Source organism: Homo sapiens, chromosome 10, assembly GCF_000001405.40.
Source record: "Homo sapiens chromosome 10, GRCh38.p14 Primary Assembly".
In the NCBI taxonomy this organism is placed as follows: Eukaryota; Metazoa; Chordata; class Mammalia; order Primates; family Hominidae; genus Homo; species Homo sapiens.
In genome coordinates this window covers 13,409,605-13,425,279 of record NC_000010.11, presented here as the reverse complement: position 1 = coordinate 13,425,279, position 15,675 = coordinate 13,409,605, and the positions used below count along the sequence as shown (strand labels likewise).

Sequence of the window (15,675 nt, the reverse complement as noted above, 5' to 3'; positions counted from 1 at the left end):
CCTCTTGATCCCAGATCAGTTGTTTAGAGAGCCCAAATAAGCTCCCGTGGTGGTACTGAGTGCCGGAATCAGAAGGAAAACAAAAAAAGAGTTCTTATTTTTTGGGATGATCTTTGTTTTTGTCAGTCCAGGTTGCTGTAACAAATTACCATAGGCTGGGGGGCTTAAACAATGAACATTTATTTCTCATAGTTCTGGAGACTGGAAGTCTGAGATCAGGGTGCCAACATGATCGGGTTCCAGGCAAAGGCCCTGTTCCTGGTTCACAGACACCTGCCTTCTCACTGTGACCTTACATGGTGGAGAGCAGAGAGAGGAAGCAAGCTCTTTCCTTTTTTTTTTTTTTTTAGGCCCAGAGTCTCACTCACTCTGTCACCCAGGCTGGAGCACAGTGGTGCAATCTCAGCTCACTGCAACCTCTGCCTTCCACGCTCAAGCAATTCTCCTGCCTCAGCCTCCCAAGTAGCTGGGACTACAGGCATGCACCACCATGCCCGGCTAACTTTTGTATTTTTAGTAGAGACAGGGTTTTGCCATGTTGGCCAGACTGGTCTTGAACTCCCGACCTCAAGTGATCCACCGCTTTGGCCTCCCAAAGTGCTGGGATTACAGGTGTGAGCCACCTCACCCAGCCTTTCCTGTCTCTTTTATAAGGGCACTAATCCCCTCATAAGGGCCCCACCCTCCTGACCAAATCACCTCCCAAAGGCCCTACCTTCTAATATCATCTCCCTGGGGGTTAGGATTTCAACATGTGAATCTGTGGGGGACATACAAATGCAGTCAATAACCATCAGAATCCCAGTGGGCTCCTTGTAGCCAATGGTCATTGGTCCAACTTTAGTTTTCTGTGCTACAATATGACACAGTGATGTGGAAAAAGAGGATAATAATATTATTATAATTATTACTATGAGACTGGCTCGGTGGCTTACACCTGTAATCTCAGCACTTCAGGAGGCCAATGCAGGCGAATGACTTGAGGTCAGGAGTTCAAGACCAGCCTGGCCAACACGGTGAAACCCCATTTCCACTAGCAAGGCATGGTGGCACACACCTGTAATCACAACTACTCGGGAGTCTGAGGCAGGAGAATCCCTTGAACCCAGGAGGCAGAGCTGAGACCGTGCCACTGTACTCCGACCTGAGCAACAGAGCGAGACCCTGTCTCAAAAAAAGTAATTAATTAATTAACTTTTTAAAAAATTATTATGGAATTTGGAAAGATTGGGGCACTGGTAATTCAATTCCGGCGGGTCTTCTGATCTTGGAATTCACAAGTTATCAAGCCAAATGCTGAACCTGCGCAGGGAAGACAGAAAAAGTGAAACCTCTGTGCATTTCCTTACCCTGCCTGCTAACCAGCCCCTCCATCCTGCCGGTTCCATGCTGGGGGCGTGGGGAGACAATGTCCCTTCTTACAACTGAGAAAGAGCACATGCTAGGGAGGCCTGAGACTTACTCTCCTTTTTTTTCAACGAATTTAATTCTTTCCAAAGATGAAATATAAACATGCAAAGATTCTCTGTAATAATGATGATACATGAGCTAACATTTATTGGATTCTTAACCCTGGGAGGGCCCACACAGATCTCTCAGCATGCATTATGCCATTTAATATTTACAGAAAACCCTGAGTTCAGAACCGATGCTAGAGATGGAGAAAATGAGGACCAGAGGCAAATAATTTGAGTATTATAATGTTGCCCCAAAGCTGAAATTTTTAACCATCCATTGTGACATCTAAAAACCCGGCTTCCCTTTCTGCTGAGTTTCTCTGGCTCTACACCTGAATAATAGTTTCAATAAACTCCACCAGGTGTCATCTACATATTTTTTCACAAATAAGTCCAAGGTACAGTTTATCATCCTCTGAATGCTAACAAATTCTGAAGATGCAAAACCTACAGGGTGTGTATAAATAATTTCACTCAGCGGTATAAATATGAATACTGTTTAAAAAAATAAACAACCTTGTTTCCCTAAGTTGTTGTGTTACCTCTTCTCTCCTGGACTTTTTATTGGCTCTCTGGTGCCAGTAGGAACCTGTTCTAAAACTGATTAGCCCTGAGAAAGACTCTGTAATCAAATAAATCTGAAGTTAGGCGTGCTTTCAATTTTTGTTAAGAAGTGAGTTTTTTTTTTTCCAAACAGGACGTGTTTCCCAAAGAAAGCTTGGTGTCTTTTGTATTCTAAAACATGTCTGCGTCTGTGATTTCAAAGGACAGTAGAACCAATTCTGTTTGTAACTGGCCAATTTCAGTTCCTGTGAAAGACCCGTGGAGGAAGTGGTTTGTGAATAAGATTTGAATAAAGCGTATTATTAGATCTCAAAGAGAATCAGTAGATTCTAACGTAGTTTTCCTTGCATTTCATCAATAAAGCAATGTCGTTATGAAGGCACTGCAATCATGTCTTCTCTTGTTGGTTTGAAAGCTTGTTTTTTGTCGCTGTTGATCGGCCTTTGGAAGGTCTATCCTAAGGACAAATTCCTTTGGTTCTGCAATGCGTCATCGCTGCAACCATACCTTAAGGCTCAGAACACCTAGGGAGATAAATAGAAGTTAATTTTGTTATCTGGGCTTTATCAGTAAATTTCAACTTGGAAAGATTACGTGACATGCCCTAAGTCCCACATTCAGCCACACTGGGAAGGCTGAGCACAGTTATACGCAGAGCCTTAACATACTGAAGACAGAATCTGGGGGATCCCAGGCTCATCTCTTACTTTACTGTCGATCTCAAAGACAATCAATAGAGGCCCAGTGCAGTGGCTCACACCTGTAATCCCAACACTTTGGGAGGCTGAGGCAGGGGGATCAGTTGAGGCCAGGAGCCCAAGACCAGCCTGGCCAACATGGTGAAACCCCATCTCTACTAAAAATACAAAAATTAGCTGGGCGTGGTGGCAGGTGCCTGTAATTCCAGCTACTCCGAAGGCTGAGGCACAAGAATCACTTGAACCCAGGAGGTGAAAGTTGCAGTGAGCCAAGATTACACCACTGCACTCCAGCCTGGGTGACAGAACAAGACTCCATCTAAAAAGAAAAAAGAGAGAGAGAATCACTAGATTCTAACATAGTTTTCCTTGCATTGCATCAATAAAGCAACATTGTTATGAAGGCATTGCAATCTTGTCTTCTCCTGTTGGTCTGAAAGCTTGTTTTTTGTTGTTGTTGATCAGCCTTTGGATGGTTTGTTTGGTTCTGCAGAAGCCAGGAGGGTTAGGGGCTGTTAGACTGAATTATGGGCCCCCCTCAATCTCCCAGAATCCATATGTTGAAATCCTCAGCCCCAGTGCCTCAGAATGCAAGTGGGTTTGGAGATAGGGTCTTTGCAGAAATCATTAAGTTAAAAATGAAGACATTAGAGTGGGCCCTAGTGCTAATTCTAAAACCTGGTGTTCCAATTATAAGAAGATTTTGACACAGACACACACAGAGGGAAGAGAACTGTGAAGCCATGGAGAAAAGACAGCCATCTGCAAGCCCAGGAGAAAGGCCTAGAGCAGACCCTTCCCCCACAGCCCTCAGAAGGACCAGCCCTACAGACACCTTCAGTTGCACTTCCAGCCTCCAGAATGGTGAGAAAATACATTTTTGTTGCTTTAAGTGGCTGCAGCCTGAGCATAGTAACACCTGGGCCATTGCAGCTGCCCTATGCATGATGATTCAGAGGCCTGAGGTGTCCTGATCCTGAGCTCTACACCCCAAGACAGTGCTTCTGAAGCTAATGGTGCCAAATCCAGAAACCACAGACTGACCGGTTATTTGGTGCTTACACACCCCACGTCTGTCCTAGATACCCTGGAGACACAGCATCAGGCTTCCTCCCCAGCAAATCTCAGTGGAGGGTGTGAAATTGGAGGCTTCTTGGCCAACTGGTCTGAGGTTGAGTTGAGCTCCTACCTTTCTCTCAACAATCTCTGGCTGGGGGAAGTTTTTCCTGGGAAATCCTCACTCACATGTGGATTTGTGGAGGCTATGCCCACCCAGACCCTCTGTTCTGACATTTTGTTCAAGAGGGCCACATTGTTCTTATAAGGCTCATAGCCACGCCGCCCTCTCCCCCAAGTCCCACCTGTTCCCAGCAGCCCTAACTCGAGTCCTTTTGTGGACAAAGAGGAACAGAGAGTAACGAGACACTGTGCTGAGCACTTTCCAGGCACGATCGCATCTCACCTTTACTGCCTCCCTGAGCGGAAGGCATCACCCTCTCTCAATCTGCCAGATGGCGAAACTGAAGCACAGACAGGTCAGGAACCTGCCCCAAGCTCACACGGCTCACGAGTGAGGGGAATGCATTTGCTCTTGAGTTTCTAAGGCCTGTGCTTTGCTGGTACACAATGCGAGAGAGGTAACCAAATGGCCTTGAACTCCTCTCCCTCCAAGGTAACCACAGGGAAAGGTCCAGCCAGGACCTGGCCGGGTTAGTGCTTGTGACATTTTGTCTCTGGAAGTTTCAGAATCTGTCACTGCAGAGGCTGGCAGGGATGTGCTTTTCACAGGCCACAGTGGCTCATGCCTGTAATCCCAGTGCTTTGGGAGGCCAAGGTGGGAGGATAGCTAGAGGCCAGGAGTTTGAGACCAGCCTGGGCAACAGAGCAAGACCCCATCTCTACAAAGAAAAAAAAAAGTACTGTGCCACTCAAAGAGACCCAAAAGATTACTTCCAGCTCCACAATGAGGCAAACACAGAAAGTGAGAGTAAGCGTTCAGGAGCACCCACACACATTTAACAGACCAATGCTATGTTGCAAGAATCTAGTCATAAAAAAGAAACGAGCTTATATTTTCTATGGTTTTTTAATACAAAAATTTCAATTTCTCATCACATACTAGAGCCCACTGCAAATAAACACCTGGGTCCTGGCCGGGCGCGGTGGCTCACACCTGTAATCCCAGCACTTTGGGAGGCCGAGCCGGGTGGATCACGGGGTCAGGAATTCAAGACCAGCCTGGCCAAGATGGTGAAACCCCATCTCTACTAGAAATACAAAAATTAGCTGGGCCTGGTGGCATGTGCCTGTAATCTCAGCTACTCAGGAGGCTGAGGCAGAGAACTGCTTAAACCCGGGAGGCGGAGGTTGCAATGAGCCAAGATTACGCCACTGCACTCCAGCCTGGGCGACAGAGCGAGATCTCCGTCTCAAAAAAAAAAACAAACCTGGGTCCTTACCACTGATAGTTTGAGAAGCCCTGCTGAGACAGCGGTCTCAGTCACTGACTAAGGATAAAATGACATGGAAAAAGCTGGAGCCCGGGAAATGCAGGGATTCTCTCCAGCTGCAAGGGCCACGCGGGGGATGTCCAGCCACCAACGTGAGCCCCTCAGCTGCCAACGGCACCCTTAGTAAGGGGCTTTCTGGAATAGTCAAATGGATAGTGCCCTGGAAGTTGAGAATTTGGCTTTTAGTCTCAGGTTTGGGTTTTTTGTTTATTTTTGAGACGGGATCTGGCTGTGTCACTCAGGCTGGAGTGCAGTGGCACGGTCTTGGCTCACTGCAGCCTCAACCTCCCATGGCCCTGGTTTAGTGGTGTGACCTTGTGCCAATCATTTAATCCTCTGTCCGCTGATTTTCTCATCTGTAAGCTGGAGATCATAATACTGGTGCCTGCCTCATAGGGTTATTCTGTGGAATAAACGTGTTAATTTGTGAGCGTTCAGAGCAGTGCCTGAGTGCTATGTATGTGTTCACTATTATTACAATTAGGTAGAAGTCATTTTTCCTTCTTAAGCCTGTATTCTACTGAAATAGTTTTTAAACTACTTTTTTGGGATATTCCTTTGTGGAGGAGGTGTTTCAAGACTTCCGTAAGCATCTGACTTACATTTAATTTTTTTTTTTTTTTTTGAGACACATTCTCGCTCTAGTGCACAGGCTGGAGTGCAATGGTGTGATCTCAGCTCACAGCAACCTCTGCCTCCCGGGTTCAAGCAATTCTCCTGCCTCAGCCTCCTGAGCAGCTGGGAGTACAAGCGCACGCCACCACACCCGGCTAATTTTTGTATTTTTAGGAGAGATGGGGTTTTGCCATGTTGGCCAGAATGGTCTCAAACTCCTGAACTCAAGTGATCCACCTGCCTCGGCCTCCCAAAATGCTGGGATTACAGGCGTGAGCCACTGTGCCCGGGCTGTTCCAACTGTTTACCACAAAACTAGGCCTGCAGCTCTGGCCATTCATTTCTCAATTATCTGGGGAGAAATAGGGACGAGGCTGGGGATATAGGAGAAGGACCTCCTGACGGGACAGCAGGAAACCAGCCTGCCATTAACCACCCAGTGACCTCGGGCAAGTGCATGAACCTCCCAGCCCCTGAGGGTATGGGGCTCTGCCACCCTCTGTATCTTGAAGCAGGTGCTTTTGACAGCAGCGCCTCCTGTCCTTTAGATGAGTGGTCCCCGACCTTTCTGGTACCAGGGACCAGTATCATGGAAGACAATTTTTCCGTTGTCCTGGTGTGGGGGAAGGTTTCAGGATGATTCAAGCACACTACATGTATCGTTCACCTTATTTCTATTATCATTACATTGTAATATATAATGAAATAATTCTAGGCCGGGTGTGGTGGCTCACGCCTGTAATCCCACCACTTTGGGAGGCTGAGGTGGGTGGATCACTTGAGGTCAGGCGTTCAAGACCAGCCTAACCAACAAGGAGAAACCCCATCTCTGCTAAAAATACAAAATTAGCCGGGCATGGTGGCCCATGCCTGTAATCCCAGTTACTTGGGAGGCTGAGGCAGGAGAATCGCTTGAACCTGGGAGGCGGAGGTTGGTGTGAGCCGAGATTGAGCCATTACACTCCAGCCTAGGCAACAAGAGTGAAACTCTGTCTCAAAAAGAAAAAAAAGAAAAGAAATAATTCTACAACTCACCATAATGTAGAATCAGTGGGAACCCTTAGCTTGTTTTCCTGCAACTAGATGGTCCCATGCAGGGGTGACGGGAGACAGTGACAGATCATCAAGCATTAGATTCTCATAAGAAGCGTGCAACCTAGATCCCTGGCTGCGCAGTTCACAGTAGGGTTTGTGCTGCTGCTGATTTGAGAGGAGGCGGAGCTCAGGCTGTAATGTGAACGATGGGGAGCAGCTGTAAACACAGATGAAGCTTTGCTTGCTCGCCCGCCACTCACCTCTGGCTGTGTGGGCCTGATTCCTAACAGGCCACTGGCCAGTACCAGTCCATGGCCCAGGTGTTGGTGACCCCCGCTTTAGATAACCAAACAAGCAGCCAGGCCCTGACATAGACTCATGTAGAACCCCACCCTCTTCCCACTCCATTTTCGAGGCCATCCTGGTAATAAGAAAGTAACCAAAAGACAGCAAAGAGAAGGAAGAGGGCCTGCATGAGGATCTCACCCCAAGACCGGGCTAACTGTGGTTTTGGGCTCCTGTCCTTTGCCTGGGAAACCTGAGCGTGTCTTTGCAGTTGCTCCCATCCACAGGCCTCTGTCCGACTGGCTTTCATCCCAGCCCACTTAACTTTCCTGCCCAAGAGATACCTGTGGTTTCCACCAGCCGCATGCTACTCCCCCGCCTGAAATGCTCCTACTCCTTCCTGCCCTCGGGGACCAACCAGACCCAGCCTGAAGGCCCAGCTCAGTCCCTCCTGCTTCCCTGCCTCCCTTATCTCCTTATTGTTTATGGCCCTGTTTCACTCCTGCCCCTGTGCTATCCCACAGACCTGACATTTGCACAGCATTCATGGTTGACAGGGCATGTTCACTGAACCCTCAAAATACATTGATCTGTCAGCTTCTAAAACAAATCACCAGCTCTGGTATCTTAGGGCTACTGTAACAAAACGCCATACATTGGGTGGCTTCTCAACACAGAAATCGAATCGTTCTGGAGGCTGGAGATCCAAGAAGTCCAAGATCAAGGCAGATTTGGTGTCTGGTGAGGGTGTGCCTTCTGCTTCATAGACAGTGCCTTTATGCCGTGTCCTCACAGGGTGGAAGGGGTGAGAGGGTTCCCTTGGGCCTCTTTTATAAGGGCACCAATTCCATTCACGAAGACTCCACCCTTGGGACCTAATCACTTCCCAAAGGCCGATCTCCTAATACCATCACCTCAGGGGTTAAGATTTTAACACAGAAATTTTGAAGGCACACAAACATTCAGACCACACATCCAGGGAGCTGAGTGGGATTTGTGCCCCCACCTGCCTGCCTAGTGTCACTGGATAGCTGCCTACAGTGGAGGGCTGGCAAGGGACTATTGTGCACTTTATGTACACACACCACCTCCTGTGAGCTTGGCATAACACCCGTGAGGTGGGTGGTGGCTTCTTTTTTAGAAACTTCAAAAGTGAAGCTCACTTTCAGTCTGGGCTCAGACTTGACATCTGGTATACCAAACTGTCTTACAAAGAAATAAGCAGAAGCTGATCACATGCTGAAGCTCAGGGCCAATGCAGAGCCCATAAGAGTCAGAGATAGGTCCAGCCCTGTCTATACGATGCCAAAGCCCCTCTCTCCCACCTCAGTTTCAGCCAGGCCTTGCCAGTCCACCCTTCTCCCTCCTCTGTCACCCCTGCCCTTGCCCCTCAGTGGTTGAGGCTCTACAAAGCCCCCTGGCAGTCAGGGAACACGGAACCCTAGAATCCTGAGAGGAGGGTCTGGACAAGGCAAATCAGTTCTCTACCTGGGAGTCACACAAGACCTCCTCTCCACGTAGAGAGCAAATCAGAGGCGGGGCTGTTGGGTACCAAGGGGGCATCTGTCCACTAGGAAATGTGCAGGGGCATCACTTTTGTTTAGGGTTGGATTTGGGTTGGTCGGCACAGTGGCTTGGATCCAGAGCCACTCGGATATTTGATGGCGTTGAGGATAGCCCTGCCAAACACCCTGCACCAAGCAAGTCAGTCCTGTAGAAGGAAGGTCTGCCCACGCTGCTAGTACGTCCCTGTGAGGAATCACTGAGTCCCATCAGCTAGCTTTTCCTTTAGTATCCTCTCCTTATTGTTTATCATCTTGACATTGGCCCAAAGGGCTCAGTCCAGCACTCTGGACTCCACTGCCTGCTCTCAGGCTGCTGGAGGAGACCGGCATCCAGAAACACGTGACCGAGCCTCTGTGCACTCGGGACTTTTAATCTCCTTAATTGAAACTGGCCTCTTGGGAGGCAGATCTGCATTGGCCCTGAGCTTCAGCATGTCATCAACTTTTGCTTATTTCTTTTAAAGATCAATTGACACACCATAGTATCCAATCTTCTCCCTGAATATCGGACCTATTTGCCAACCAGAAGCAAAACCAGAAACACACACACTTAGAAAAACAGCTCAGGAAACAAAAGTGCCTGATAAAAATATGGAGGGAAACATTCTGTCTCATGGTGACTTAGCGTTATACAAAAGGCCAGTCAAAACTCCATTACCAAGGAAAGATGTAATCACATGGGAAAGGAGAGATGGGAGAGGTTGGGGGAAGAGTAAGCTGCCTGAAGCTCACAAGATAAATAAGCTGGGCTGGAGAATATCTAAGAACCAGCTGCAAAAAAAAGATAAAAAGGGAAGAAAAGTGAAACATCTTTTTTTGTTTGTTTGTTTGTTTTTTGAGACAGAGTCTCACTCTGTTGCCCAGGCTGGAGTGCAATGGTGCGATGATCTTGGCTCACTGCAACCTCCATCTCCTGGGCTCAAGCAATTTTCCTGCCTCAGCCTCCCAAGTAGCTGGGATTACAGGCATGCGCCACCACGCCCAGCTAATTTTTGTATTTGTAGTACAGATGGGGTTTCACCATGTTGCCTAGGCTGGTCTTGAACTCCTGGCCTCAAGTGATCCGCCCACCTCAGTCTCCCAAAGTGCTGGGATTATAGGCGTGAACCACATTCCCAGACAAAATATCTTTTTAAATTGAAAGAAAACCAACATCAAGAGATTCGTTTGAGTGTCCAGATTTGTGTTCATCCAGATATACCACGATCACTCCGAAGCAGCTAGAGCTGGTTTACAAACCAGCTTGGCAGGTCATATCTCTTGGCAAAGCCTCTGATAAGGGCCCCTTACCTACCAGACTGATCGTATATCCTGGACATATCTCTCTGGGGCTCTCCTGTGCAATGCTGGTGGGTCATTTCACCAACTGGGCACTGGGCTTTGAAAGAACAGTCCTAGTTGGGGTGGCGCCACCTTGTGACTTCCAAGCTCTTGGTTCTGTTTCTGCACCAGCTGCATGGGATTAACACCAGGGCAAAAGAAGCAAGAGGCAGGACCTTAGAGGCAAGAAAGCCCAGCACTGACAAGTCAATTAATCACTACTGTGCATGTCAAACTCAGTGCAAACACCTTGCTTCCTGTTCTTCTGAAGATCAAGTCCAGAGTCCAGATTTTAAAAGCACAAACATCCAGCTGTTTTGCTGTTGGAAAGTTCCACTTACAAATCAATTCAAGGAGAAAGTACTTCTTAGTCTCCATGTTCCCTACATAGAGGAAAAAAAACATTTTGTCTACCCTCCTATGTTCAGTTACTGAAGCCTGCAAATTAAATGGATAAAAGCCAGATTAACAAGAGAAATATATAATAATTTTATTTGATGCTAATATTTTTTCTTACACAGGAGGCCTCACAGAAAATAAGACCCCAGGCTGGGCACGGTGGCTCTTGCCTGTAATCCCAGCAATTTGGGAGGCTGAGGCGGGTGGACCACTTGAGGGCAGTTGTTCAAGACTAGCCTGGCCAACATGGTGAAACCCTGTCTCTACTAAAAATACAAAAATTAGCTGGGTGTGGTGATGTGCACCTGTAAGTCCCAGCTACTTGACTTGGGAAGCTAAGGTAGGAGAATCACTTGAACCTGGGAAGCAGAGGTTGCAGTGAGCTGAGATTGTGCCACGGCACTCCAGCCTGGGCAATAGAGTGAGACTCTATCTCAAAAGACAAAAAAGAAGAAGACCCCAAAAAAGTAGTCAGACTCAGGGGTTTATATACCATTTTAACAAAGGGTGATAAATTGTGAAGTGACTAGACAAAGGAAAGCAGATCATTTAGGCTTCTAGGAGTGGTAAATTGTGGAAAGATAACTAAGAAATGTACAGTAGATAAGGGATGAATAGTTGGATTTGTTAGGCAGACTCACCTTGGTAATGTCTCCAGTGATAAGTCATCTCCAGTGATTAACAGTTATTCTCCTCTTCTGGTATTGGAGAGAGGCACCACTTCACAATTCCTTTACAAGTGGAAATTTATGTTACCTTTACAAAGGGAAACGTGGCCTGCTTTTAGGCAGAAAGAAGAAGGACAGAGAGCTTTTCCTGTGGCTGTATTTTCCCAATTGCCTTCAGCTCAAAATAATCCTTAAACCAAAGTGGCATATTCTGGGCCCCTTCACCTAGCAGCAGGAAAGTGACGTAATGATGAAGGAGAGGGTGAACGCTGTAAAGACAAGGGCTGTAACATCATCCATCATCACTAAACCAGGGTCTAAGGGTGCTGAACATATAGTAGGCACTCAATAAATATATGTTGAATGAATAAATAAATCAGTGGCTGGCTGGCTGGCTGGATGGATGGATGAATATTGGATAAAATAGGATTGGAGCAACTACATAGTGTGGAAAAGAAAATTGCAGCTTATCGAATGCTGGCTCCCATAAAATACCACCAAGGCAACATGTTGATAAAGCAAAGCTCATGGCAGTAAGAAAAAGCACTACCCTGGTGGTCATAACAATGTCTGAGTGGGACAGATAAATTCAGAGTGTTTATGATGTTTAAGAGTCTGGTTTAAGGAAGGTCTTTCAGTGTGGGGAAGTCTAAGATTGAATAGGATCATGATATAATCCAAGATCATGGAGATAGCAAGGTGAGTTAACAGTCATTTGTTGCAATCTACCAAAGTTAGGCAGTTTTAAGTAAGTTCAGGGGAAATTCCTAAAACAAACACTAAAGTTACTTGCAATCTTTAGCTTTCTGGGCAAGTGTTTCCTGCCACAGTGAAATCATGTTGGTTGATACAGTTTGGATCTGTGTCCCCGCCCAAATCTCATGTCGAACCATAATCCCCAATGTTGGAAGTGGGTCCCAATGGGAGGTGATTGGATCATGGGAGTGGATCCTTCATGAATGGCTTAGCACCTTCCCCTCCATGCTGTTCTCATGATGGTGAGTGAATTCTCATGAGATCTGGTTGTTTGAAAGTGTCTGGCAGCTCCCCCACCACATCCTCCTGGTCCAGCCATGTAAGACGTGCCTGCTTCTCCTTCACCTTCCATCATGATTGTAAGTTTCCTGAGGCCTCCCCAGAAGCAGAAGCCACTATGCTTCCTGTACAGCCTGTGGAACCGTGAACCAATTAAACTTCTTTGCTTTATAAGTTGCCCCATCTCAGGCATTTCTTTATAGCAATGTGAGAACAGACAAATAGATTGGTAAAGACAGTGGAATAGTAAAGTCATGTTACGAAGACCACATGGTAGTAGTCATATAATGCAGACATAAGCAAGCTTATGTGGGTTTCGGTGGTTTCAGTCCTCAAGCTAATGGTCTTAAGTAAACTCTTCTTCCACAGTGTGGCACATACAGACAAGTAAACCACGTTTGTCCACAGGAAGACCAGCAGACCTTAAGTGGGCCCCAAGATAGAGGTGATGGTTAATTTCTGGTCATCGAGGCTGAGCCATATAAAGGAGAGGTAATTCAGGAGGCCAGGCACAGTGGCTCACACCTGTAATCCCAGCACTTTGGGAGGCCGAGGCAGGCAGATCACCTGAGGTCGGGAGTTCGAGACCAGCCTGACCAACATGGAGAAACCCCAACTCTACTAAAAATACAAAAAAATTAGCTGGGTGTGGTGGCACACGCCTGTGATCCCAGCTACTCGGGAGGCTGAGACAGGAGAATCACTTGAACCCAGGAGGCAGAGGTTGCAGTGAGCCAAGATCACACCATTGCACTCCAGCCTGGGCGACAAGAGGGAAACTCTGTCTCAAAAAAACAAAAAGAAAAGAAAAGAAAAGAATTGAAAACAAGGACTGAAATACATACCTGTATGCCAATGTTCATAGCAGCACCATTCACAACAGCCAAGAGGTGGAAATAACTCTAGTGTTTATCAACAGATAAATGGATAAATGGTATATCCATATGATGGGAGCTTTTTCAGCCATAAAAAGGAATGACATTCTGACACATGCTGCAATATGGATGAACCTCAAAAACATTATGCCAAGAGAAATAAGCTCAACACAAAAGAACAAATATTGCATGATTCCACTTCTATTAAATACCCAGAATAGGCAAATTCATAGAGACAAAGTACTTTAGAGGACACCAGGGACTGAGGGGAGGGGAAATGGGGAGTCACTGCTTAATGGGTACAGAGTTTCTATTTGGAGCAACAAAAAGTTTTTGAAATAGATAGTGGTGATGGTTGCACAACATTATGAGTGGAATCGATGCCACTGAATTGTACACTTAGACATAGTGAAAATAGCCAGGTATGGTGACCTGTTATCCCGGCACTTTGGGGGCCTGAGGCAGGCAGATCACGTGAGCCCAGGAGTTTGAGACCAGCCTGGGCAACATGGCGAAACCTCATCTCTACAAAAAAAAAAAAAAAAAAAAAAGCTGAGTGTGGTGGCACACGCCTGTAGTCCCAGCTACCCAGGAGGTAGAGGTGGTAGGATTACCTGAGCCCAGGAAGTTGAGGCTGCAGTGAACCGTGATCACGCCACTGCACTCCAGCCTGGGTGACAGTGTAAGACCCTGTCTCAGAAAAAAGACAGTCTCACAATTAAAATAAAATGTCTCACAAATAAAAATTAAAGCGCACACACACACATACACATATAAAACTGCGTGTGTGTGCATGCTTTCTTGTTAATTGTGGCAAATCACTATATTATATATATTTTATCACAATTTTTTTAAGTTGTAAAATAAGAAAAATGAAAAATTCCAAGATGGCAGCAGCATAGCATTAACCAAGTCCAGGGTCCTTCTGAGCATGAGCTCTGTGTGAAGCCAGCCCTGCTGAGAGGACGCAGAGCCCAAATCTAGGTGTCATTCCAGCTCCTGGAGACCGAGAGTGAAAGAAAGTGCCTCACTGGGCACTACTTCTGGACTCCAGAATCTACTCAGTGATCAACGAGGATGATCAGGTGGCTCACGCCTGCGGTCCCAGCACTTTGGGAGGCCAAGGCAGATGCATCGCTTGAGGTCAGGAGTTCAATACCAGCCTGGTCAACATGGTGAAACCCTGTCTCTACTAAAAATTAAAAAATTAGCAAGACATGGTGGTGCACGCCTGTAATTCCAGCTACTCATGAGGCTGAGGCAGGAGAATCACTTGAACCCAGAAGGCAGAGGTTGCAGTGAGCCGAGACTGTGCCACTGCACTCCAGCCTGGGCGACAAGAGTGAGACTCCATCTCAAAACAAACAAACAAACAACAACAACAACAACAAAAAAAACATATATTAGTACCAATGAGAGGTGGAGAAGGGAATGAAAAGGTGGGCAAGGCATAGCTTTGTCCCAAGAAACCTAATAAAAATCAGATTGCTTGCCACCTTGGCCACTCGCATCTTTGGTGATCAATCCTTGATCTGGGCTTTACTGAGCAAAAAGAGTGCCCTCGTGGCAAGCCAAACCAAACCAGTGACCTCAAGATGAGCTTCCAGAGCCTGGAGGCTACCTCTTGCTTGCAGCAAAAATATACACGTTCACTCACGGCCTTCAGCTCTTTCACCTCTGGGTGATCACTCAACGGGAGGGTGGGGACTCTGCCTGCTGCCAGAGACCAGATCCCAAACCAAACATCCCCCATTAAAGTTATAAGAAACAGTTCTCTGGCTCCAACCCTGTCTACCATTTGAGTGCCTCAGCCACCCAAAAGCTTCTCTCACCATTTCTGGGACATTTCATGGGTATTTGTGATTCTCTCAGCAACCCCATAGTACGCAAAACTTCCTCCAATTCTAACACTGGTTTTCCACAAGGATAGGCGCTGCCTCCACCTCTGAAAGCCTGGAAGCCCCAGGAAGGTGCCTCACCCCAGTCCTGCCTCCTACGCACATGCCTGTGGCCAAGCAGGACGTCAATCCAGCCCCTGTGCTATGCTCTTCCTCCCTAAAGAGGAGAGAAGCCTGAATCACCCCCAGCGCCCCAGCATGGGGCCATGGTGTAGGTTCTCAGGTACTCCTAAGATCCTGAGGAAGGTCTGGGAGGACGATGTGTGGCCTTGCTGGGCTAAAAGTTGCCTTTCGGGGTTGGTGCCAGGCCTGGGATCTGCCCCAACAGCCCTCCAGGCAAATCCGGATGGGGCCTGAATCCTGGAGATTTCAGTTTGATCTGCAGCTCCTGACACACCAGAAGTGCAGGGCCCAGGCTGCTGCAGCCAAAACATCACAATACACCTTCAGTCCCAATCCCTTCTCCTCTAACGCACTAGGACTACCGATATCACAAGCACGAGCCTGGCTTGAGAGACGGGAGCATAAAACAGCACAATGTTCCAGTTACCGCCTTTTGGGGGTTTTGAGTGAAACCACTCTTCTTTTAATACGGTAGTGAACAGATCAGCTTTTTCAAATTTTTTTTTTAACCGTTAGATATTAACCTTTGGAAAATGTGCTGAAATAGTGCCCCCTAACGGGGGTCCTTCACCACCACACTCTGCTTTCACGTTGCCACCCATCTGTTACAGGAAAAGGACCCTGATCC

At 47.0% G+C, this 15,675-nt stretch overlaps 1 long non-coding RNA gene across 1 annotated transcript, besides 2 other annotated features; it reads right to left on the bottom strand.

Annotated features, from left to right (window-relative positions):
- Nucleotides 1-1,521: 1,521 nt before the first annotated feature.
- On the bottom strand, nt 1,522-11,249 carry LOC105376420 (uncharacterized). The gene is made up of 3 exons (NR_188196.1): nt 11,090-11,249; nt 10,024-10,432; nt 1,522-2,545 (listed from the first exon to the last, which is right to left on the bottom strand). It is a non-coding gene; the product is annotated as an uncharacterized LOC105376420 (long non-coding RNA).
- Nucleotides 8,429-8,478: an enhancer, noted in NCBI's record as "active region_3054". NCBI's record gives its function as "activates an Ori minimal core promoter by ATAC-STARR-seq in GM12878 lymphoblastoid cells {active_cell/tissue: GM12878}" and the evidence as "EXISTENCE:reporter gene assay evidence [ECO:0000049][PMID:35858748]".
- Nucleotides 14,638-15,144: an enhancer, noted in NCBI's record as "H3K27ac-H3K4me1 hESC enhancer chr10:13452136-13452642 (GRCh37/hg19 assembly coordinates)". NCBI's record gives its function as "activates a minimal SCP1, AML or CMV promoter by ChIP-STARR-seq in primed H9 embryonic stem cells {active_cell/tissue: H9 hESC(primed)}" and the evidence as "EXISTENCE:reporter gene assay evidence [ECO:0000049][PMID:30033119]".